The sequence below is a fragment of the Homo sapiens genome, chromosome 5 (genome assembly GCF_000001405.40).
Source record: "Homo sapiens chromosome 5, GRCh38.p14 Primary Assembly".
In the NCBI taxonomy this organism is placed as follows: Eukaryota; Metazoa; Chordata; class Mammalia; order Primates; family Hominidae; genus Homo; species Homo sapiens.
Genome location: NC_000005.10, coordinates 37394255 through 37419787, shown reverse-complemented (window position 1 = coordinate 37419787; position 25533 = coordinate 37394255). Strand labels below are relative to the sequence as shown.

At 42.2% G+C, this 25533-nt stretch overlaps 1 protein-coding gene across 4 annotated transcripts in view; it reads right to left on the bottom strand.

The window, feature by feature from the left end:
* WDR70 (WD repeat domain 70) overlaps window positions 1-25533 on the bottom strand; it is a 374118-nt gene that overhangs the window by 333648 nt on the left and 14937 nt on the right. For all 4 annotated transcript variants that reach the window (NM_018034.4, NM_001345998.2, NM_001345999.2 and 1 more), the window contains one exon: window positions 23218-23413. In NM_018034.4, the coding sequence (NP_060504.1) occupies window positions 23218-23413 (196 nt within the window). The remainder of the gene's footprint in view (window positions 1-23217; window positions 23414-25533) is intronic.

Sequence of the window (25533 nt, the reverse complement as noted above, 5' to 3'; positions counted from 1 at the left end):
GCCCAGACTGGAGTGCAATGGCGCTGCTCACTGTAACCTCCACCTCCCAGGTTCAAGCAATTCTCCTGCCTCAGCCTCCCAAGTAGCAGGGATTACAGGCACCTGCCACCGCACCCGGTTAATTTTTTGTATTTTTAGTAGAGATGGAGTTTCGCCATGTTGGCCTGGCTGGTCTCGAACTTCTGATTTCAGGTGATCCACCCACCTTGGCCTCCCAAAGTGCTGGGATTACAGGCATGAGCCACCATGCCCAGCCTAAATTCAGTTTTTAAAAAAAGAAAAGCAGCTGGGCGCGGTGGCTCACACCTGTAATCCCAGCACTTTGGGAGGCTGAGGCAGGTGGATCACCAGGTCAGGAGTTCAAGACCAGCCTGGCCAAGATGGTGAAACCCCGTCTCTACTAAAAATACAAAAATTAGCCGGGCACGGTGGCAGGCGCCTATAAACCCAGCTACTCAGGAGGCTGAGGCAGGAGAATCGCTTGAACCCCAGGACGGAAGTTGCAGCGAGCCAAGATTGCGCCACTGCACTCCAGCCTGGAAGACAGAGTGAGATTCTGTCTCAAAAAAAAAAAAGAAACACTTTAACGTAAAATGAAACATGAGTTAAACAGCAAAGAGGTGGGGGCTTATACAGGAAGACATAAGGAAGTAAAATAGGAAAAGAGAAATGAAAGTGAAAGATTTTTTAAAATGAGCATTCCATTACTTTACAGAAATTACTGGGCCCAACATGGTGGCTCACACCTGTAATCCCAGCACTTTGGGAGGCCAAGGCGGGCAGATCCCTTGAGGCCAGAAGTCGGAGACCAGCCTGGCCAACATGGTGAAACCCTGTCTCTACCAAAAGTACAAATATTAGCCAGGCGAGTTGGCAGGTGCCTGTAATCCCAGCTACCCAGGAGGCTGAGGCAGGAGAATTGCTTGAACCTAGGAGGCGGAGGTTGCAGTGAGCAGAGCCAAGATCACACCACGGCACTCCAGCCTGAGTGACAAAGAGACTCCATTTCAAAAGGAAAAAAAAGAAGAAGAAAAATTACTGATGATAGTAAATATCCTTGGGTAACAGAAAAAAAGTTTTTAGAAAGTACTAGATATGCCAAGAGATTTTTGAAAACTGAACAAGAGTTCTATGAATATAGAAGAAGGTATATGGCTATAAGAAATGATAAATGATACAAAGGAGAACATCCTAACTTTTTTTCATGATTATAAGAGAAGTAGTCAACTAAAAAGGAGAAAAGGAGATTACCATCCTGGCTAACACGGTGAAACCCCGTCTCTACTAAAAAATAGAAAAAATTAGCCAGGCGTGGTGGCGGTTGCCTGTAGTCCCAGCTACTCAGGAGGCTAAGGCAGGAGAATGGCATGAACCCGGGAGGCGGAGCTTGCAGTGAGCCGAGATCACGCCACTGCACTCCAGCCTGGGCGACAGAGCGAGACTCCATCTCAAAAAAACAGGAGATTCAAATTTTCACTGAAGAGGGGGTATAAAAAGATTACACTAAAATATCTTAAAATAAAATTAAAATTTTTAGGTCAAGGTTTATTTAATCCTGAATAAAATAAAATAAAATAAAATTCATAATTCAAAATTTAAGTCATAACAAATCTCATAATATAGTAAATGTTAGAATCCACAAAGAATGAATCAAGTATTATTTTATAGAAACTTCAATTTTTTCAAAATCCTGTGATATTCAAATCACGTATCATTCTTGTCAATTTTCTCTTTTCCAATCAGGAACTAACTGCTCTAGTTCAACCAGTTCCTCACTTTACAATGCTTTGGGTGGAGTGGAGAACTTCTTTAACATCATTTCCACTTACTTAATGGCGCACTTACTTAAATCTGCAAGTTTTGCAATTTGCTATGTATACACTAAATTGACAGATGTTTACCAGAGTTTACTGCTGAATACCTGGACATTAAAATAACTTGTATTGGGCGCAGTGGTTCATGTCTATAATCCCAGGACTTTGCGAGGCCAAGGCAAGAGGATCACTTGAGCCAAGGAGCTCAAGACCAGCCTAGGCAACATAGCAAGACTCCACCTCTACAAAGAATAAGGTAATAAAATAATTAGCTCGGCATGGGGGTGCACGCCTGCAGTCTCAGCCACTCAGAAGGCTGAGACAGGAGAATCACTTAAGCCCAGGAATTTGAGGTCACAGTGAGCTATGATTGTGCCACTGCACTCCAGGCTGGGCAACAGAGCAATACGCTGTCTCTTAAAAAAAAAAAAAACGTCGGTGGGGGTGGTGGCCGGGTGCAGTGACTCATACCTGTAATCCTAGCACTTTGGGAGGCTGAGACAGGCAGATCACCTGAGCCCAGGAGTTCGAGACCAGCCTGGGCAATATGAGGAAACTCCATCTCTAGAAAACACAGAAAAATTAGCCGGGCATGGTGGCGCCCACCTGTAGTTCCAGCTACTAGGGAGACTGAGATGGGAGGATTGCTTGAGCCTGGAAGATCAAAGCTGCAGCTGAGTAGTGAGCATGCCACTGCACTCTAGTCTGAGTGACAGAGCAAGACCCTGTCTCAAAAAAAGAAAAAAACAAAAACTTGTAAGTAAAGAGACTATAATCAAAGTCAGATAAAAAGTACCCCCATATTTGTCACTGCACTTAAAGTATGCTTTGGATTATCTTTATAACTTAGTCCATCTTCCTTAAAGTATCCTCATTTTGATCCATACTAGCAGTGTCCATCACATAGCAGATGCACAAAATATTTGTTGAGCAAAATAAAAACCACTGCTCAGAGGCAGAAACAACCCTTGAGAGGATACAAAAGCTTACCTGGAAAGGGAGCTTTAAAAAGACTGCACACTTTTGACATAATTGTGGAGGACTAGCCTAGAAATGTGTAAGTGGAGTATTAGCTTCTCAGCTTCTAAAGAGTAACTGTGGCTGGGCACGGTGGCTAACGCCTGTAATCCCAGCACTTTAGGAGGCCAAGGCTGGCAGATCACTTGAGGAGTTTGAGACCAGCCTGGCCAAGATGGCAAAACCCTGACTCTACTAAAATTACAAAAATTAGCCAGGCATGGTGGCACATGCCTGTAATCTCAGTTACTCAGGGGGCTGAGGCACGAAAATCGCTTGAGCCTGGGAGGTGGGGCTTGCAGTGAGCCGATATCACCCCATTGCACTCCAGCCTGGGTGACACAGGGAAACTATCTCAAAAAAAAAAAAAAAAGAAGCCCTCTCCCAAGCCCTCTCCCTCTCCCTCTCCCCACGATCTCCCTCTCCCTCTCCCCACGATCTCCCTCTCCCTCTCTTTCCACGATCTCCCTCTGATGCCGAGCCGAAGCTGGACTGTACTGCTGCCATCTCGGCTCACTGCAACCTCCCTGCCTGATTCTCCTGCCTCAGTCTACCCAGTGCCTGCAATTGCAGGCGCGCCGCCACGCCTGACTGGTTTTCGTATTTTTTTGGTGGAGACGGGGTTTCGCTGTGTTGCCCAGGCTGGTCTCCAGCTCCTAACAGCGAGTGATCCGCCAGCCTCGGCCTCCCGAGGTGCCGGGATTGCAGACGGAGTCTCGTTCACTCAGTGCTCAGTGGTGCCCAGGCTGGAGTGCAGTGGCGTGATCTCGGCTCGCTACAACCTCCACCTCCCAGCTGCCTGCCTTGGCCTCCCAAAGTGCCAAGATTGCAGCCTCTGCCCGGCCGCCACCCCGTCTGGGAAGTGAGGAGCGTCTCTGCCTGGCCGCCCATCGTCTGGGATGTGAGGAGCCCCTCTGCCTGGCTGCCCAGTCTGGAAAGTGAGGAGCGTCTCTGCCAGGCCGCCATCCCATCCAGGAAGTGAGAAGCGCCTCTTCCCGGCCGCCAGCCCATCTAGGAAGTGAGGAGCGTCTCTGCCCGGCGGCCCATCGTCTGAGATGTGGGGAGCGTCTCTGCCCCGCCGCCCCGTCTGGGATGTGAGGAGCGCCTCTGCCCGGCCGCGACCCCGTCTGGGAGGTGAGGAGCGTCTCTGCCCGGCCGCCCCGTCTGAGAAGTGAGGAGACCCTCCGCCCGGCAGCCGCCCCGTCTGAGAAGTGAGGAGCCCCTCCACCTGGCAGCCGCCCCGTCTGAGAAGTGAGGAGCCCCTCCGCCCGGCGGGAGGGAGGTGGGGGGGTCAGCCCCCCGCCCGGCCAGCCGCCCCGTCCGGGAGGGAGGTGGGGGGGGTCAGCCCCTCGCCCGGCCAGCCGCCCCGTCCGGGAGGGAGGTGGGGGGTCAGCCCCCTGCCCGGCCAGCCGCCCCACCCGGGAGGGAGGTGAGGTGGGGGGGTCAGGCCCCCCCCACCCCCAGCCGCCCCTTCCGGGAGGGAGGTGGGGGGATCAGCCCCCGGCCCGGCCAGCCGCCCCGTCCGGGAGGGAGGTGGGGGGGTCAGCCCCCCGCCCGGCCAGCCGCCCCGTCCGGGAGGTGAGGGGTGCCTCTGCCCGGCCGCCCCTACTGGGAAGTGAGGAGCCCCTCTGCCCGGCCACCACCCCGTCTGGGAGGTGTACCCAACAGCTCATTGAGAACGGGCCATGATGACAATGGCGGTTTTGTGGAATAGAAAAGGGGAAAGGTGGGGAAAAGATTGAGAAATCGGATGGTTGCTGTGTCTGTGTAGAAAGAAGTAGACATGGGAGACTTTTCATTTTGTTCTGTACTAAGAAAAATTCTTCTGCCTTGGGATCCTGTTGATCTATGACCTTACCCCCAACCCTGTGCTCTCTGAAACATGTGCTGTGTCCACTCAGGGTTAAATGGATTAAGGGCGGTGCAAGATGTGCTTTGTTAAACAGATGCTTGAAGGCAGCATGCTCCTTAAAAGTCATCACCACTCCCTAATCTCAAGTACCCAGGGACACAAACACTGCGGAAGGCCGCAGGGTCCTCTGCCTAGGAAAACCAGAGACCTTTGTTCACTTGTTTATCTGCTGACCTTCCCTCCACTATTGTCCTATGACCCTGCCAAATCCCCCTCTGCGAGAAACACCCAAGAATGATCAATAAAAATAAAAAAAAAAAGAATAATTGTGACTAGATCAGAAGCTAACTTTGATTCAATGAAATGTTTAGGAAGAAAGTAGCCATGCCCACAGCCAAGGATGGCCATTCCATTCATTCAACTAATATTTCTTGAGTACCTACTATGTGCTAGGTATCTGTCAAGCCACTGAGGATACAGCAGTAAAAAAAAAAAAAAAAAAACAGACTGTCCTCATAGAACTTACATTCTTATGTGAAGAAAGACAATAAACCAATACACAAAAATGTCAGATAATGATAAGTACCATAAAGCAGTGATAGGAAAAGAGGTGGGATGGGGAGCAGGGGGGACCTATATAAGATGGACAGAGAAGGTAACACTTGAGCACAGATCCAAGCAAAATAAGGGAGCCATGTGAAGTTCTGGGTATTATTCCATGTGGAAGAAAGAGTAAATAGAAAGTTTCCATGCGGGAATAAGAATAGAGGTCTCCAAAGAAAACCAGAAAGATCAATGTGGCTAGAGAGGAGTGAGCAAGCCAGGGGGTAGAAGGGGATAAAGTCAGTGTGATTTGCAGAGGCCAAGGCAAAGAACCTGAAGTGATAGGAAGAAACCAGACGTTTGGAGCAGAGAAGTGACAAGATCTGATATATATTTTCTTTTTTTTTTTTTTTTTTTGAGACAGAGTTTTGCTCCTGTTGCCCAGGCTGGAGTGCAATGCGCAATCAAGGCTCACCGCAACCTCCGCCTCCTGAGTTCAAGCGATTCTCCTGCCTCAGCCTCCCAAATAGCTGGGATTACAAGCATGCACTACCACGCCTGGCTAATTTTGTATTTTTAGTAGAGACAGGGTTTCTCCGTGTTGGTCAGGCTGGTCTCGAACTACCAATCTCAGGTGATCCATCCGCCTTGGCATCCCAAAGTGCTGGGATTACAGACGTGAGCCACTGTGCCCGGCAAGATCTGATATATATTTTCAAAAGTTTGGATTAGACTAATGATCACAGAAATAAACCTTATTCAACTTTATAGACTTCAATATTAAAGTATGAGGAAGCTATCCTTAAAATTCCCACATAGGAATCTTTTTTTTTTTTTTTTTGAGACAGAGTCTCGCTCTGTCGCCAGGCTGGAGTGCAGTGGTGCGATCTCGGCTCACTGCAACCTCCGCCTCCCTGGTTCAAAATGATTCTCCTGCCTCAGCCTCCCAAGTAGCTGGGATCACAGGCACACGCCACCATGCCCAGGTAATTTTTCTATTTTTAGTAGAGACAGGGATTCACCATATTCGCCAGGATGGTCTCCATTTCCTGACCTCATGATCTGCCCACCTCAGCCTCCCAAAGTGCTGGGATTACAGGTGTGAGCCACGGTGCCCAGTCAGGAATCTCTGTTACTTATCTAAAAAGCTTAAGATAAAATTTTAAATATATTTGAGAGAATTTTTCTGCATTCTTCTTCAGAGAAAAAAAAGTAATTATTCCAACACTAATCTCAATCTCAAACTCACTTGTTCCAGTCTGTAGAAGACATTATTTATAAAAGATTCTTTTTTTTCCTTCCACTATAGACAGGCAAAGGGAAAAACTGGATGCTTGCCAAAGAGCTTCTATTGCCCCCTAGTGCCCATTTTCACACATTAGCAGTTTCGAAACCCTAAGGAACATAGTCACTGGGTTTTGGAACACAGCTTCTAGCATCCTCTGCTGACATAACCTTGCAGGCGTAATTAAATTACTCTGTTTTAAAGGACATTAATTCTACTTTGAAGTTAAAATAGTTAAGTTTTCTCATACCAATTTTTTAAAACTTTTCTTCTTTAATTGAAGTCAACTTCAATTAAATTTAAATTGGTTATTGATCAAATATTGGTATTGATGATGAAAACAATGATAAAACCCAGCCATTCTGAGTGCCTAGTATGAGTCCTATGTTGCGTGTTTACATGAATCACCTTATTCTTACATCAACTCCTGGGAACTAAAAGATAGTTTTCTCCCGCTTTGAATTCTTCAGCCTCTCCCCATGTATCAGGGAAAGAGACTGACTGATACAGGTGGCTGGCAATGATCAAGGCCAAGGGGATGAGATGCCTCAGACCAGAAGACAAAGCAACACAGTGGTGGCCCAAACTTGGACTCCCCACCACAGAACGTGCTAGCCAGGGAGTCAGACAGAGTTCATGGAGAACAGGTGCTCACAACTAGAAAGCTGCTGTTACATCCAGCCCTTAGTTACAGTCATAAAAATCCAACTTTCTATTTTCTGTAGTAATGGGAAACAGGATAGCAAAGATAATGAAAATCCTCAGTAATCCTAAAGTTTCCATTTAATTATGAGTTAGAACCTCCTTCATCCCTAAAAAAAAAAAATTAGAATCATGAACAAGTAATAGAAATGGTTAAAAGATGTTTTGTTTTGTTTTGTTTTGCTTTGAGATGGAGTCTCACTCTTGTCACCCAGGCTGGAGTGCAATGGCAAGATCTCAGCTCACTGCAACCTCCACCTCCCGGGTTCAAGCAATTCTCCTGCCTCAGCTTCCCGAGTAGCTGGGATTACAGGCGTGCTCCACCACGCCCAGATAATTTTTGTATTTTTAGTAGAGACAGAGTTTCACCATGTTGGCCAGGCTGGTCTCGAACTCCTGACCTCAGATGATCTGCCCGCCTCAGCCTCCCAAAGTGCTGGGATTACAGACATGTGCCATAGCATCCAGCCAAAAGATGATTTTTCACCTGTTTTCTCTGATACTTCCCACTTGAATTTTTTTTTTACTTAGTTCTAAGAAAAATAATCATAATCCTTCAAATTCTACTGGAAAGAACAATTTTATTACCATTATAGATAAACAAAATGGAATAAAATAAGTAAAAAAAAGTTTATCAAAAAGAAATTATAATATAATTAATATTTTTAATATAGTGCCTTTAGCAGTAAAACTAAATCCAACTACTAACTAGTAACTGAAGTAAAATACATATAAGAAACAAAAAAATTAATCACAGTTGGGACAGTGTGGTTTATAACGTACCTACTAGTAAGTACTCTGGTAATTTTGCTTCCAATTTTAGAGCTATCAAATTGTTTTTTTCAAATCAAGACGGAGTCTCATTCTGTAGCCCAGGCAGGAGTACGGTGGCATGATATCAGCTCACTACAACCTCCACCTCCCAGGTTCAAGTGATTCTCATGTCTCAGCCTCCCGAGTAGCTGGAATTACAGGTGCGTGCCAACACACCCGGATAATTTTTGTATTTTTAGTAGAGATGGGGTTTGGCCATGTTGGCCAGGTTGGTCTTGAACTCATGACCTCAACTGATCCACCCGCCCTGGCCTCCCAAAGTGTTGGAATTACAGGTGTGAGCCACTGCATCTGGCCAAAAAAAAAAATCATTTGTAAACAGTATTGTAACTAGGAGGGGCACAAGGAACTATAGAGATGACAGAAATGTTCTGTACCTTATTTGGGATGGTGGTTTCACATAATATATACAACTGTCAAAATTCACCAAACTGAACCTTTAAGATCTGTGCACATTATTATATTAAATAACACCTTAAAAGCAAGGTATGGTGGTTCACACCTGTTATCCAGCACTTTGGGAGGCCAAGACAGGAAAGCGGCTTGAGGCCAGGAGTTTTGAGACCAACCTGAGCAACACAGCAAGACCTTATTTCCACAAAATAAAAATAAAAAAACAAATAGTTACACCTTAATAAAAACAATCACACTTTTTAGAAAGTATTGTGTGACTGTTTTAAGGAAAGAAAACTACAACTTTTTCTGATTCATTTGCCAGGTAGGTTCATAAGCTATCAAAATAAAGCGAGAATAAAGTTTTAATCTATAAATTTAATTAACTAAGTCATCTCTATCTTGAGGCAGCTCTTACAATTATTAAACTATAATGTATCTAAATTGTAAGGTTAGGGCAAGGCATGTATAATGGTTCTTATGGAAATAGATGTTTATTTACAGTTCTATGCTCACATTTCCTTTGTTCACACTTCCATACCTACTTCCATTTTCCATATAGAAACTAAGGGCTATGTGTCATAAAGAAAAAACACATTTGAATGTCACAAGCTTTTCATTTATAAAAACCAAAAATGTTCAATTCCATTTAACAAATATGTACTCTGTACATACCATTTATAAGGTATTGCATTAGAAGACACAGGACTTTTAAAAAACTACCATACCTTTCATACAAAAGTTCCTGTACTTGAGGTCTTAATATATGATTGGAAAAGAAAGGTAAGGGAGTTAGGACAAGCACACAAATAATGATTTAACAACAAGAAGCCAGAAACCAAGCCTGGGAAGTAGCAAATGCAGCTAGCATCTGGAGAGGTTGCTTAGAGGAAATTATATTTCAAATGGTCCCTAAAGGGTACACAGAATTTTAACAAGCAGAAACTGGAGGAATGAGAAAGTAGCATTAAAGTTTTCATCAGTACTCAAGTCAAAACTAGCAGACTCAGGCCAGGCACAGTGGCTGACAACTATAATCCCAGCACTTTGGGAGGCCATGGCAGGCAGATTTCTTGAGCCCAGGAGTTCGAGACCAGCCTTGGCAACATGGGAAGACCTTGTCTCTAAAAAAGAAAAAAAAAAAAAAAAAAAAACTAACAAACTCCAAGCTGGGTGGACTCACATTCGCCTGTAGTCCTAGCTACTTAGGAGGCTTAGGCAGAAGCACTGCTTGAGCCCAAGAGTTTTAGACCAGCCTGTGCATCATAGCAAAACCCTATCTCTTAAAAAAAAAAACACTAGTGGACCCCTTTCTCAGAGAAAATGAATGGGCAACATAGAGATTGGTGAAGTCTGAAAGATTTATGCATCAGGTCTTCTATATATTTGCCTATTGTGATGAAAGATTTGACATGTCTTTGAAAAAATATTCTGAATTACTGATAAAGCCACTGCTAACTGAGGAATGAATTATAATAGTTGTGAAAAATAACGGGAAAGAGTGAATAACTAAAACATTCTCTTAAAAAAAGCCAGTTTCTCAGCCGGGCATGGTGGCTCACGCCTGTAATCCCAGCACTTTGGGAGGCCGAGGTGGGTGGATCACCTGATGTTCAGGAGTTTGTGACCAGCCCGGCCAGCATGGTGAAAACCCGTCTCTACTAAAAATACAAAAATTAGCCGGGCATCCTGGCACACACCTGTAATCCCAGTTACTCGGGAAGCTGAGGCGGGAGAATCGCTTGAACCCAGAAGTCAGAGGTTGCAGGGGGACGAGATCGCACCACTGCACTCCAGCCTGGGCAACAAGAGCAAAACTCCATCTCCAAAAAAAAAAAAAAAGTAAGGCCAGTTTCTCACATTTGTTAGTGGGAGCAAGGAAAAAGGCAGTTTTTATACCTTCATTTCCCTTATGAGTGCTTCAGTGATCCTCGGTATAAACAAACCTGACAGATACACAGTCAAGCTTGACAAAAATCTCGGCTGAGGCTAGTTTTTTGGAATCTTCCCTTAATAAAATAAACCAAAAAGATTACATCTCATTTCCGAAGAGAAACAGTAGAATAACTACACAGCAGAACCAGACACAAAAGAATTCAAATGAAATTCAGCCAGGCATGGTGGCTCACGCCTGTAATCCCAGCACTTTAGGAGGCCGAGGCGGGTGGATCACCTGAGGTCAGGAGTTCGAGACCAGCCTGACCAACATGGTGAAACCCCATCTCTACTAAAAATACAAAAATTAGCTGGGCATGGTAGCAGGTGCCTGTAATCCCAGCTACTCGGGAGGCTCAGGCAGGAGAATCACTTGAACCCAGGAGGCGGAGGTTGCAGCGAGCCAAGATCACACCATTGCACTCCAGCCTGGGCAACAAGATGAAACTCCATCTAAAAAATAATAATAAAAATGAAATTCATGCATGTTAATACTCTGACCAAATCTTAAGAGTTTAAAGATTGCATTAGTACCAATAAACTTTACACTTTTTATTCCTTTGGAGAAAGGTAGCTAATGTTCACAAGTATGAAATAAAATCAAATAAGCACACATGCTATATATATTATATATAATACACACACACACAATATTAAAGAACCATTCACAATGGCTAAAAAGACCCAAAAAAATTCAAAATAAATAACTTGTCATTGCTATAACTGAAAGCAACAAATATTGAATATAGATACTCACTGCTTAGTTGCTAGTTGCCCCTTATCATCCATTCTTTGTATTGGAAGCATTAAATTTTAGGTAGACTCCTGGCCTCCAAAAAAGAAAAACTATTACACTTCTCAAGTTAAACAAAGATACAAAGTTCAAAATGAGGAGGCTTCTTTATCCTTATCCCTCTACCTTCTTTTTTCAATTTTTTGAGCCAAGTGTCTCGCTCTGTCTCCCAAGCTGGAGTGCAGTGGTGCAATATCGGCTCACTGGAACCTCCACCTCCCAGGTTCAAGTGATTCTCCTGCCTCAGTCTCCTGAGTAGCTGGGATTACAGGCGTGTGCCATGACACCTGGCTAATTTTTTTATATTTTTAGTAGAGATGGGGTTTCACTATGTTGGCCAGGCTGGTCTCAAACTCCTGACCTTAGGTGATGCACCCACCTCAGGCTTCCAAAGTGCTGGGATTACAGGCATGAGCCACTGCGCTTGACCTTGTCCCTCTACCTTCTTACTGACAAAAATGCAAAATTAATGGCTACAGCTACAGCATCTAACTTGAAGCCTGTATACTAAAGATGGCAGAAAAAAAGACAGACGCAGACGAGATCTGAGATATCCTGGACCTGCAAACTAGTTCTATTCCATTTAACTCCTTATTCATTAATGTGAGGGAGAGAAAAGACTTCTATCTTGTTTAAGCCACTGTTGTTTTGCATTTTCTGTCACTGGCAGCCAAATTAATAATACACTAACTAATATACACTTAAAACAGGCTCCACACTCAATTCCACAGGCTTCTAAGTATGGGAGGCAGCATCATACTGTAAAAGCATGGTTAGGCTGGGCACAGTGGCTCACCTGCCTGTGGCTCACACCTTTAATCTTAGCACTTGGGGAGGCCAAGGCAGGAGGATCTCGTAAGGCCAGAAGTTTGAAACCAGCCTAGGCAACATGGCAAGACCCCGTTTCTACAAAAACAGACAAAAGGCGTAAAAGGAAAAAAAAAAGCACAGATAGCCTACGTGTGCATAACATCTCTCTCACTTAATAGCTAAAGTAGGCAAATAAATAAATTGGACTAATTATTTAACCTCTGTGGGAAAAATTTGAGAAATATTTACCAATTATTTAGTGGTTCTGACTTATTTCTATTTTTTTTAAGATGGAATCTCACTGTCACCCAGCCTGGAGTACAGTGGTACGATTTTTAGCTCGTTGCAACCTCCGCCTCCCAGGCTCAGGTGATCCTCCTGCCTTAGCCTCCTGAGTAACTGGGACCACAGGTGCTCACTACACCCGGCTAATTATTTTTTGTATTTTTGGTAAAGATGGGGTTTCGCCATGTTGATCAGGCTGTTCTTGAACTCCTGAGCTCAGGTGATCCAGCCCCCCTTGACCTCCCCAAGTGCTGGGATTACAGGTGTAAACACTACACCGGCCTGACTTACTTAAATGTTATGTCTTGAAAAGCTTTATACTATTCTTTATATTCAGGCCCATCTCTCCCTAACTTTATTACTTTTGAGACAGTCTCACTCTGTCCCCAGGCTGGAGTACAGTGGCAAGATCATGGCTGGCTCACTGCAATCTCAAACTCCTGGACTACACCTAATTATTTGTTGTTATTCCTATTGTGAAAAAGTTATCTTTCACATTTAACACTTTAAACTGAACATTATTAAATGAATCTAACAGTTTTCGTTAGTTCCTTTTGTTTCAGGTAGAGTCATATAAACTACACCAATATTCCCACCTCTTCCTTATAATGCAGTCTTGATAATTTTAGTTTAACTGGCAAAAATGTCTAGGATAATATTAAATAATAATATGATTGTTACCTCTGTTGCTCCTTAATTATGTACAACACTGACTGTTGGTATGATGCATGAGTGAATTCCTTCAAATGATACGAAAGTTTCCTTTTAGTTTAAGTTTTTTATTAGATATCCTGTTAAATTTGTTTTTCAATTCCTCTTTTGCTATCCTATTGAAATAAATGACCTTAATGATAATAGCTAACACTGAACACTTTAAATACCAGATACTATTCTAAGGGTTCTTTATACATTCATTCACTCATTTAATCCATCCACATAATCTGAGTGGAGAATTTTATCAGTCCCATTTTATAGAGGGGGAAAGACAGACACAGAGAGGTTAAATAATGTGCCCAAAATCACACAGCTTTAAAGTGAAGGAGCCCTATCTGGCTCCAGAACTCACTCTCTTAATCACGATTCTATATTGCATCCCTGTATCTGTATTTTGCTCCTTTTTCTACTATACTAGTCCAGTCAAGAATGGAATGGAAGCTGGGAGACTTTAGTGGCTACTAACACTGAAGTGATATAGGATTAGACTAAAGTGGTAGTAATGGAGACAGGGAATTGGAGAGATCTGGTAATATGCCTTCAAGACAGAGCTAGTAAGACTTAATGGATCAGAGATTGGATGTGAGGTATGAGGGAAAGAGAGGAATGATGGCAACCAGGTTTTTTGGCCTACCCATAGCCTGGTATTTAAGACTCTGTTTCTCATGTTTTATATTAATTAACTTAATTTGTTTTCCTTAGTTTTCCAGTTTCCCTTCCTTCTTCCTAATCTATGCATTTCACTTCATTAAATCCTTTTTTGTTTTTGAGACAGAGTCTCACTCTGTCACTCAGGCTGGAGTACAGTGATGCAACCATGGCTCACTGCAACTTTGACTTCCCAGGCTCAAGTGATCCTCCCACCTCATTCTCCTGAGTAGCTGGAATTACAGGTGCACACCACCACACTTGGCTTTTTTATTTTTTGTGGAGATGGGGGTCTCACTACATTGGCAAGGATGGTCTCGAACTCCCGGGCTCAAGTGATCCTCTTGCATGAAGCTCCTAAAGTGCTGAGATTACAGGCATGAGCCACTGCGACCAGTCCATTAAATCCTTTTTGAGATGAGGTAAAATAAATATAAGCTTATTTACTAGTACTTAAGACTTATTCTATATTCATGTTCAATATTGTTTCCTTTGGGTTTTTTTAATCTGTTCTAGATTTTTGAATTGAGGTCATAATTGCTTTATAATGAGGGACAATTAACTGTTTATAGCACCAATAATTGTTTCTGATTATCGGCACAGCTATGGTCAATGTGGAAACTGGAAACATAAAAAAGTATGAGTCAGGGCCAGGCACAGCGGCTCACACCTGTAATCCCAGCTACTCGGGAGGCTGAGGCAGGAGAATCGCTTGAACCTGGGAGGCAGAGGTTGCAGTGAGCCAAAATCGCACCATTGCACTCCAGCCTGGGCAACAAGAGTGAGGGTCTGTCTCAAAAAAAAAAAAAGTATAAGGCAAAAAAAATATATATTATCCTCATTCCCACAATCTAGAAGCAAGCAATGGGAGTACTTTGTTCCACACATATCTATTGTTTAAATTACTGAAATCATACTGTCTATTCAGTTTTACATCCTTTCCTAGTGCTACTAAAAACCCTTATTAAACATGTTTAGTGACTTCATAACATTCTACATGACCACAACACAATTTACTTGTCCTTCTCCCTATTACTAGGTATTTATATTCTTCCTAATTATTCTAATATTTTACATACGCTGGTATTTTCAAACATTTTCAGACTTGGAACTCTTTCATCAAGAGAAAGCTCTGAGGAAGCCTAACATAAAAACAGAGCTGACCTGGCCAAAAACTGATAGGAGGGACCCCATCTCACCATACCACACACCCAGCAGTAATCCCAACACATTCAGAAAACCACAATTATAAGTACTAATGTGATAATTATTTTTGTGCAGAAAGCTTTGTCCAAATCTTTCATTACTTCCTCTGGATAGAATCCTTAAAAGGCTATTGAGTGTAAAGGAAATGAACATTTTCAAGGCTCCTGATACTAAATAATAAAGTTTCAATAATAAAAGCAATAACTTAGAGAAGGAACAGGATTGAAAAATAAATTAATTAAATTTGATTAAAAAAAAACTGTCAGAGCTACAGGCTCAGTTTCCAGAATATCTACATGTTCATGGCCCTTCTGAGAATATGATTATGATTTAATAGGTATAGTTAATTCAGGCACTACAAGGATATAAAAATGAACAAGATTCAAAAAACCAGGAGCTTATGGCCTCTGCCATGCCATCTTCAAAAGAAATTAAACACTAATGCTTCAGAGACATTAACATGCACATATTATAGAAAAAATATTTTTTCATAAAATACTGATCAAAATATATTAACTCTGAGCTATATGAAAGGGTATATGAAACCTTTAAAGTGGCTTCACTATCATAAAAAAAGCAATAATTTCATTCCCTTTTTTTAAGAAGAAATATTTTATAAGCAATATCCCATATCCTTAGGTATCCATGAGACATGACTCAGATCATAATCTGCAGAGGTACCCTAAGTTACCCTATGACCCCAACTGTGATTAAGTAAACAGCACAACTAGACTGTGAAGAAATCCATTAGAATTACCTGTGGAGCCTTTTATTATAAATAATACAAATTGCAGGAGTTAAGGCAAGTTCCACTACAGTTATACTGAATCAATCTCCAGAGTACAGGACCTAAGCATGCATACTTTTTAATTGCACCAAAGCTGATTCTTACATTCAGATTAAGAAACACTAGGTTAGCTGGGTGCAGAGGTTCACATCTGTAATCCCAACACTTTGGGAGGCTGAAGTGGAAGGATCACTTGAGGCCAAGAGTTCAAGGCCACACAGACAAGAGAGCAAGACCCCACTCTACAAAAAATATAAGAAGTAGCCAGATGTGGTTGTATGCACCTGTAGTCCTAGTTACTCAGGAGGCTGAGGCAAGAGGATCACTTGAGCCCAAGAGGTTGAAGCTGCAGTGAGCTATGATTACACCACTTGAATGAGAGTCAAAAAAATTCACTGCACTCCAGCCTGTTTGAAACAAGACCCCATCTTTAAAAAAAAAAATTAATTTTTTTAAAAAAGTTAACACTAGGTTAAAGAAAGGTTCTTTTTAAAAATATTACCCCATTAATTTCAACAATATTTGCTAAAATATCTAGCCACTCCACTATGTGAAATTGGTTGCTTTCCTATTAAATAGACTGTCAAAAGTGCCACAGTGATTATGAACAATAAAAAACTCAAATTGGATTCAGAAATCGCCAGGTGGAGTCCTGCCCTGCTGTGGTGGTGTTTTCCCTCATTTAGGGAATTAGTACTATTAGTTGCAATGTGACTTGTGTTACAGGTAGTTTAATCTTGCTGCAGTGGGGAAAGGGGATTAAAACAGAAGATCCTTGAGGCAAAGAGACCAGCTAAGTGGCTACAGCAAAAGTTCAAGTGTGACAAAATAAAAGCCTAAGTTTTATCTTAGATGTGTTGAATTTACAATATGGTTGGAGTTTAAATATGAACATAATTCATGAGTGGTTAGAAAGATTGGGGACCGGGCACAGTGGCTCATGCCTGTAATCCCAGCACTTTGGGAGGCAGAAGCAGGCAGATCACTTGAGGCCAGGAGTTCAAGACCAGCCTGGCCAACACAGCGAAACCCCATCTCTACTAAAAATACAAAAAATTAGCCAGGCGTGGTGGTGCACACCTGTAATCCCAGCTACTCAGGAGGCTGAGGCACGAGAATGGCTTGAGGCCAGGAGGCAGATGTTGGAGTGAGTCAAGATCGTGCCAGTGCACTCCAGGCTGGGTGGCAGAGCAAGACTTTGACTCAAAAAAAAAAAAAAAAAAAACGGAGGGAGGGAGGGAAGGAGGGAAAGAGGGAAGGAAGGAAGGAAGGAAGGATGGATTTTACATGCTCTTACCTGTAGAAGCTACAAAAGTGGATCTCATAAAGAGAGATTAGTGACTACTAGAGGCTGGGAAGGTTCGGGGGCTGGGAAAGATGAAGAGAGGCTGATTAACAGGTACCAATATATGGTCAGATAGAGAGAATAAGACCTAGTATTCAAAACATCAGTAGGGTGACCACAGTTAACAATAATCTTATTGTATATTTTAAAACAGCTAGAAGAGAATAATTTGAATGTTCCTAGCATAAGGAAGAGACAAATATTTAAGGTGATGGATATCCTGGATATCCCAATTACCCTGTTTTAATCTGTACACATTTTACGAATTTATCAAATTGTCATATATACCCCAAAAATATATATATTATTTATCAATTTTTTAGAAACTAAAACTGTCATAATCCAGCAATCCCACTAATGAGTATATATCCAAAGGAAAGGAAATTCACATTTTGATACCTGCACTCCCCTTTTCACTGCAGCACTATTCACAATGACCAAGATATGGAATCAACCTACGTGTCCATCAATAAATGAATGGATTTAAAAATTTAAAACACACACACACACACACACACACACACACACACAAATACTATCTGGCTAAATTTAGAAAGTATAAAATCATGTCACATGCAGTAACAAACATGAGTTTACAGGACATTGTGTTAAGTGAAATAAGCCAGGCACAGAAAGATAAATACCACATGTTCTCATTCAGATGAAGCTAAATAAACTGATCTCATAAAAGTGGAGAGAATAGTAGAAACAGAAACGAAAGGGTGAAAAGGGTAGGAAAAAGAGGGGTATAAAGAGAGTTTGGTTAACAGATACAAAATTACAGCTAGACAGAAAGAATAAGTTCTAGTGTTCTATAGCATTGTAAAGTAACTATAGTTAACAACTGTTTACTCCATATTTTCAAAGAGCTAAAAGTGAGAATTTTGAATATTGCCAACACAAAGAGATGATCAGTGTTTTACGCAATGGATATGCTAATCACCCTGATTTGATCATTACACTCTGTATACAGGTGTGGAGGATCACACTCTACCCCAGAAATATGTACAATTATGTCAATTAAAAATAATCTGTCAATTAAAAAAAATCCTTAAAAATATAATCTTGGCCAGGCACAATGACTCACGTCTGTAATACCAACACTTTGGAAAGTCAAGGTGGCAGGATGGCTTGAGCCCAGGTGAGACCAGCATGGCCAAGATGGTGAGACCCCCACCTCTACAAAAATTTTAAAAATAAAAAATTTGGCCTGGGTAAGGTGGCTCACTCCTGTAATCCTAGCACTTTGGGAGGCCAAGGTAGGTGGATTACCTGAGGTCAGGAGTTCAAGACCAGCCTGGCCAACATGGTGAAACTCCGTCTCTACTAAAAATACAAAAAATTAGCTGGGTGCAGTGGCGCGTGCCTGTAATTCCAGCTACTCAGGAGGCTGAGGCAGGAGAATTGCTTGAACCCAGGAGGCGGAGGTTGCAGTGAGCCGAGATTGCACCACTGCACTCCAGCCTGGGCAATAGAGCAAGACTCCGTCTCAAAAAAAAAAAAAAAAATTAATCTTTGGCTGGGCAGTGACTCAAGCCTGTAATCCCAGCACTTTGGGAGGCCAAGACAGGAGGATCACTTGAGCCCAGGAGTTTGAGACGAGCTGGGCAATGTAGTAAGACCTCATCTCTACTAAAAAAAAAAAAAAAAAAAAAAAAAATAGCTAGGTGTAGAGGCACATGCCTGTAATCCCAGCTACTCGGGAGGCTGAGGTGGGAGGATCACTTAAGCCCAGGAGGTCAAGGATGTAGTGAGCTTTGATTACACCACTGTACTCCAGCCTGGGTGACAGAGAGACCCCATCTCAAAAAAACACAAAAACTGTAATCCTCTACAAAGCTTACCAAATTACACATCCTCCAGAGAGTATTTATTCATACTTTCTGGATTTGATCTCATCCTCCTCATCTTTCTACTTTCTCCTAGTAAGAAAACTCAGCCATGCACTAATCAGGTACAATTTCATGACCATAGCTGTACTTATATACATTTGGGCCTTCGCTATAGCAATTTTTTTCTGGCTTGCAATATGCTTCTTTCTTCCCTTCTGTTTATCAGCCATTAGTCAGCCTTGCAAACCTGTATTAGCTCACACAACCATAAACAAAATACCACAGACTGGGTGACTTAAAACAATAGAGATGTATTTGCTGACAGGTCTGGAGGCTAGAGGTCCACAATCAAAATATGGACAAATGTGGTTTCTGGTGACACCTCTCTTCCTGGCTTGTAGACGACCACTTTCTGCTATGTCCTCAAAAAGCCATTCTTCCTTTCCCGTGGGAGAGGAGGAGTTAGTGCACGCTTTCTGGTGACTCTTTTTATAAAGACACTAATTCTATGAGATCAGTGGAAGTAATGTAGACAATAAGAGAGTACACTTTTCTGTAGAGAACTTAAAAACAATGATAAAATCAAGCAAAGATAAGCCTGCTTTTTATTATCACCTGGTGATGGCAATTATAAACAATGTTAGTTTAGACACTACTTAATGTTCTTTTTGCTATGGTTCCTATCGAGTTTTAATAACATATATGTGAACTTCAATTAACATATTTGTATTACTTATCTTTTAATAAACACTGTATTCTGGCCAGGTGCAGTGGCTCACACCTGTAATCCCAGCACTTTGGGAGGCCGAGGCAGGTGGATCACCTGAGGTTAGGAATGCAAGACCAGCTGGGGCAACATGGTGAAACCCCATCACTACTAAAAATACAAAAAATTAGCCAGGCGTGGTGGCAGATGCCTGTAATCCCAGCTACTCAGGAAGCTGAGGCAGGAGAATCACTTGAACCCGGGAGACGGAGGTTGCAGTGAGCTGAGATCATGCCACTGCACTCCAGCCTGGGCAACAGAGTGAGACTCCATCTCAAAAATAAATGAATAAATAAATAATAAAAATAAATAACCACTGTATTCTACACGAAGTTAATCTGGAGAACTCCCAGTTATCTGCACCACACACATGCACAAACACACTCACCTACTCGGGTCTCTACACACTGTTTTTCATGGTTCAGAATCATTCAAGCTCATTTCAAGGGTAATTTCCTATCTCCAATCCCTGTTGTACTACGTTTCTGCATTTAAATACTAGATTCAAAATAAACAAAGATTATAAAGACAAAGAAACAAAATGCTAAGCAAATCCAATTCTGTTTTCTATGGATGCCAAAAGAAAAAACAAAAGACATGGTTGGCAAAAGAATTTAAAACGGTAAATGTTTGAATACCTCAATTGTTTTCACCAAAAGCATTCTAAAGCAATGGATCATTTAATGGCAATGTTTGACATCATTTAGCCATTTTCTCTGATTTTTAGAGAAAAAAATTTAGAAGTTTTTACCAAATATAAAATGAATTTTCTGTAAAAACACTTTCATGAAAAAAAAATTTTTTTTTGAGACAGAGTCTTGCTCTGTTGCCAGGCTAGAGTGCAGTGGTGCAATCTTGACTCACTGCAGAGTCGGCCTTGCGGGTTCAAGCAATTCCCCTGCCTCAGCCTCCTGTCACCATGCCTGGCTAATTTTTTTTGTGTGTGTGTGAGACAGAGTCTCGCTCTGTCACCCAGACTGGAGTGCAGTGGCGCCATCTCGGCTCACTGCAAGCTCTGCCTCCCAGGTTCACGCCATTCTCCTGCCTCAGCCTCCCGAGTAGCTGGGACTACAGGCGCCCACCACCATGCCCGGCTAATTTTTTGTATTTTTAGTAGAGATGGGTTTTCACCGTGTTAGCCAGGATGGTCTCGACCTCCTGACCTCGTGATCCGCCCATCTCGGCCTCCCAAAGTGCTGGGATTACAGGCGTGAGCCACTACGCCCAGCCTATTTTTGTATTTTCTTAGTAGAGTCAAGGTTTCACCATGTTGGCCAGGCTAGTCTCAAACTCCTGACCTCAAGTGATCAGCACTCCTCAGCCTCCCAAAGTACTGGGATTACAGGCGTGCGCCACAGTGCCCAGTCAAAATATTTCAACCTACAGAGATATTTAAAAGCCACTAGAACTGATAAAAGAAAAAATATACAATCAACATTGCAATTTCTGGAACTTACTGTAAAACAAAAATTTTAATGAAACTGCCAAATTTATTCTTATTTTATTCTTGTTTGTTTTCTTAATTTTACATATGCACACACATGAATGCATGTGCATATGTGTGTATATATACTATAGATCTGTTATTTCATATGAAAGAAAAATGTACAAAATTGAAATTAGAAGCTTTATTTGATCAACTACAGACAGACGCAAATTGACAAATTTGCTGTACTATGTACTGAGAAGGAATACGCAAAGAATACCGATTTTGACAGTCATTGACAGATTTACAAAAGCTGTTGCTTTTCTGATTACTTTTCATTTCATTTCATAATTATTACTAAAAATAATTCATCACATAAAGAAGGGAGGTGTTAAAAAATTATCTACCCCAAGTGCGGCCGGGCGCAGTGGCTCACGCCTGTCCCAGCACTTTGGGAGGCCGAGGCGGGCAGATCACGAGGTCAGGAGATCGAGACCATCCTGGCTAACACGGTGAAACCTCATCTCTACTAAAAATACGAAAAATCAGCTGGGCGTGGTGGCGGGTGCCTGTAGTCTCAGCTACTCAGGAGGCTGAGGCAGGAGAATGGCATGAACCCGGGAGGCGAAGCTTGCAGTGAGCGGAGATGGCGCCACCACATTCCAGCCTCGGTGACAGAGTGAGACTCCCGTCTCAAAAAAAAAAAAAAAAAATTATCTACCCCAAGTGTCAAATACAAATGTAGACCATTTCCTTCAGCATTCTTTCCTTTCAGTATTTTGGAGATTATATCTTTTTTTTTTTTTTTTCTGAGACCGAATCTGTCACCCAGGCTGGAGAGCAGTGGTGCAATCTCGGCTCACTGCAACCTCTGTCTCCCGGGTTCAAGTGATTCTCCTGCTTCAGCCTCCCGAGTAGCTGCGACTACAGGCGTGCGCCACGATTACGCCTGGCTAATTTTTGTATTTTTAGTAGAGACGGGGTTTCACCATGTTGGCCAGGATGGTCTCAATCTCTTGACCTCGTGATCCGCCCACCTCAGCCTCCCAAAGTGCTGGGATTACAGATGTGAGCCACTATGCCCTGCCGGGCAATTACTCTTAAAATTGTAAACTTATATACTTGGCTTAAACTAATCTAAGGTTAACCGGTATCCCTGGCCTCCTCCCAAATAACATTTACAAAGCAATGAACTCTGATTTCACTCTCCCATCTTCTACTTCATTGTTGACAATAATTTTAGATCCAGTTTGCTCTTAAATCCTCCCAAATTTACCCATCATCATTATTATTTGCAGACAATGCATACATAGATTTTTTTTTTTTTTTTTGAAACAGAGTTTTGCTCTTATTGCCCAGGCTGGCGTGCAATGGCACAATCTCAGCTCACTGCAACCTCTGCCTCCCAGGTTCAAGCGATTCTCCTGCCTCGGCCTCTCAGAGTGCTGGGATTACAGGTGTGAGCCACCACACCCAGCCGCATACGTAGATTTAACAAAATGTTTTATCCATTGATTTCTTTTTAACACATTGCTTTCTGCCCTCCATTTATTATTTTTTAGTTGTTTTCTTCCTCCTGAAGTTCTTTCAATACAGGCTGTCAGTAATAAACTCCACAGTCATTTTCCTCAGGTTTTTTGCGGGGGGGTTGGGGGGGGCGGTTTGAGACAGGGTCTCACTCTGTCGCCCAGGCTGGAGTGCCATCTGTCGACCTCACTGCAACCTCTATCTCCTGGGCCCAAATTATCCTCCCACCTCAGCCTCCTGAGTAGCTGGGACCACAGGTGCGCACCATAACACCCGTCTAATTTTTGCATTTTTGTAGAAACAGAGTTTCGCCATGTTGCCCAAGCTGGTTTTCAATTCCTGAGCTCAAGCGATCCGTCCACCTCGGCCTCCCAAAGTGCCGGGATTACGGGTGTGAGCCACTGTACCGGCCTTTTTCCTCGGTTTGGTTTTTTGTTTGTTTTTTGGAGATGGAGTCTGGCTGTCTACAGGCTGGAGTGCAGTGGCACAATCTTGGCTCATTGCAACCTCTGCCTCCCAGGTTCAAGCGATTCTCCTGCCTCAGCCTTCCAAGTAACTGGGATTACAGGTGTTAAGCCACCATGCCCGGCCTTTCCTCAGTTTTTAAATTGGCTCTTACTCATGAAAAACAGTTTAGCAGAACTGATCTCTACAGTAAAGATATTACTCCACCGAATTCTTAAATTACCACTGAAATACTTACTTCCTCTTCCTCCTCTTCCTCTTCTTCTTCCTCTGCTTCTTCTTCTTCTTCATTAAGAGGTGGAGGTAAAGGACCGAGGATATCTTCCTCCATAAAATTAACTGGTTTTCCTACCATTTTAGGGGGTAAAGGAGGGCCAATTAACTCATCATCAGAAGAGTCAGAACTCTGTTCACTTTCACTGCTGCTCGTATCCCTGAAAATACAGAAACAGAAACTCTTTGCCTCTGCTGCAATGAAGAGCACACTTTGGAAATAGTATTCATTTCTCAGGATACTTTTCCTCTCCTATTAACAACTGGGTATTTTTTAATTTTTTTAAATTTGTAGTTCAAACATTAAATGTTTAATGCCAAATATTTTATCTTAAGAAAGTTAAAAAAAACCGTCTTACGCAGTCAAAAATAAAGGGTCACAGCAATTATATGTTAGACAGCCATTAGACCATTAGCACTCATAAAGAGACAGGTGAGACTGAGTGCAATGGCTCACACCTGTAACGCCAGCACTTTCAGGGACCAAGGCAGGTGGACTGCTTGTGCCCAAGAGTTTGAGACTAGCCTGGGAAACATCACGAGACCCTGTTTCTACAAAAAATAAAAATTAGCCAGGTGTGGTGGCATGTGCTTGTGGTACCAGCTACTCAGGAGGCTGAGGTGGTAGGATCACTTGAGTCCAGGAGGTCAAGGCTACAGTGAGCCATGACTGCGTCACTCTACTCCAGCCTGAACAACAGTGAGACCCTGTCTCAAAATACAGATATATAATAAAAATTTAATTTAAAAATTTTAAAAAGAGGTGAACAAGGAAATACAGAAGAAAAACTACAAAATAGTAACGGACAAAAACCACTGAGATATCCAGTGCCTCAATTAACTATATTTGAATCCAATCCCTGATTGCCACAGTAGCAAATAATGCCAGTCATGTAAGGAAGTTAATATTACTCCCAAAATGTTTCAATATAATTTCTGAAATACAAGTTATTTCTAACGGCTAATCCAAGTTTCCTACATTGCCAAAACATTAAATGTAGCATTCTTGCATTCTAAAAACACCATACTCTAACCAGGGGTGTCCAAGGGAGAGAATACAGTCATGGGTTCTTATTTTGTTTCTGGTTGTCCAGTGAAGCCATTTCCTCATCCCTCTTTTCTACTTATCACTAGAGACAGAAACTAAAAACCACGGCTTCAGGATGCTAAAAGTCTAAAAGAAAACAACAACAATATAACGCAGGTTGGACGGGCTTGAGAGTCTAGGGCATAGCATACTGATTCCCAAGTGGTTTCCTATCCACCACACCTGAGGACTATTATACACTCTCACTAAGGTCTCTAGCAAACACCTGTAAGCATAGCCCTCACCATCTACCACCCCTCCACCTGCCGCCAGAGTTGAGCATTCAGCATTCTTAATTGTATCAATTAATCTTTCAAATATTTGATAAGATTAAAAGTGTCACTGCCTTCTAATGAAGTATCTCTGGTATGTAAGCTCCAGGAAAGCACGAATTTCTGTTTTGTTCTAGCATCTAACATATTTCTAGCATCTAAAAAATGCTTCACCTATAACAGGCACTCAATATCTACTGACGGAAAAACATGAGATTTTTCTTTTTGTTTTCATCTAGGTTAAAAATTGAAAAGAATATATTCTCACATTCAGGTTACCCTTAAACAGAGGTATATGAACTAGCAAACCTCCATAAAAATCTGAGTTTCTACATTTGAGCCACTGCATAGCTCAAATCTCCACTCCAAGGCCTTCTTTCTAATTGAACAGGTTAAGTTTGGTTCACAACAAGGTCTTTGCACTTGTAGTTCTGTCGGCTGACTTACCCTTCCCATAGATTGTTACACGGCCTCTTTCTCATCTTTGGAGTTTCCTCAAATGTCTCCTCCTCAAAGAAGTCTAAGGGCACACTCCTTCTAAACTTTCAGGCACACCACCACTTCCCATTACCTTAAGTACCTTTGTTTATCTTCATTACATGCCTGCTAAGTTATTTTATTTGGTTATTTAGTTGTCTGTTATCTATCCCTTCAAATACTCCCACAACAACGTGAGCTCAGTGAGAACAAAGGTCTCAACTGACTTGCTAATTGCTATATCTCAGTGCCTAAAACACTGTGTAATCCACAGTAGATGCTCAGTAAGTAATAGTTGAATGACTAAACAAATTTATATTAAGCTATTCATACTCCAAAATTTTCCCCCTTATGATTAACGCACAAGTTTCCAGCTGCACTGGTTTAAAACAGATTTTTTTTTTTTTTTTTTTTGAGACAGAGTCTCACTCTAGAGTCCCAGGGC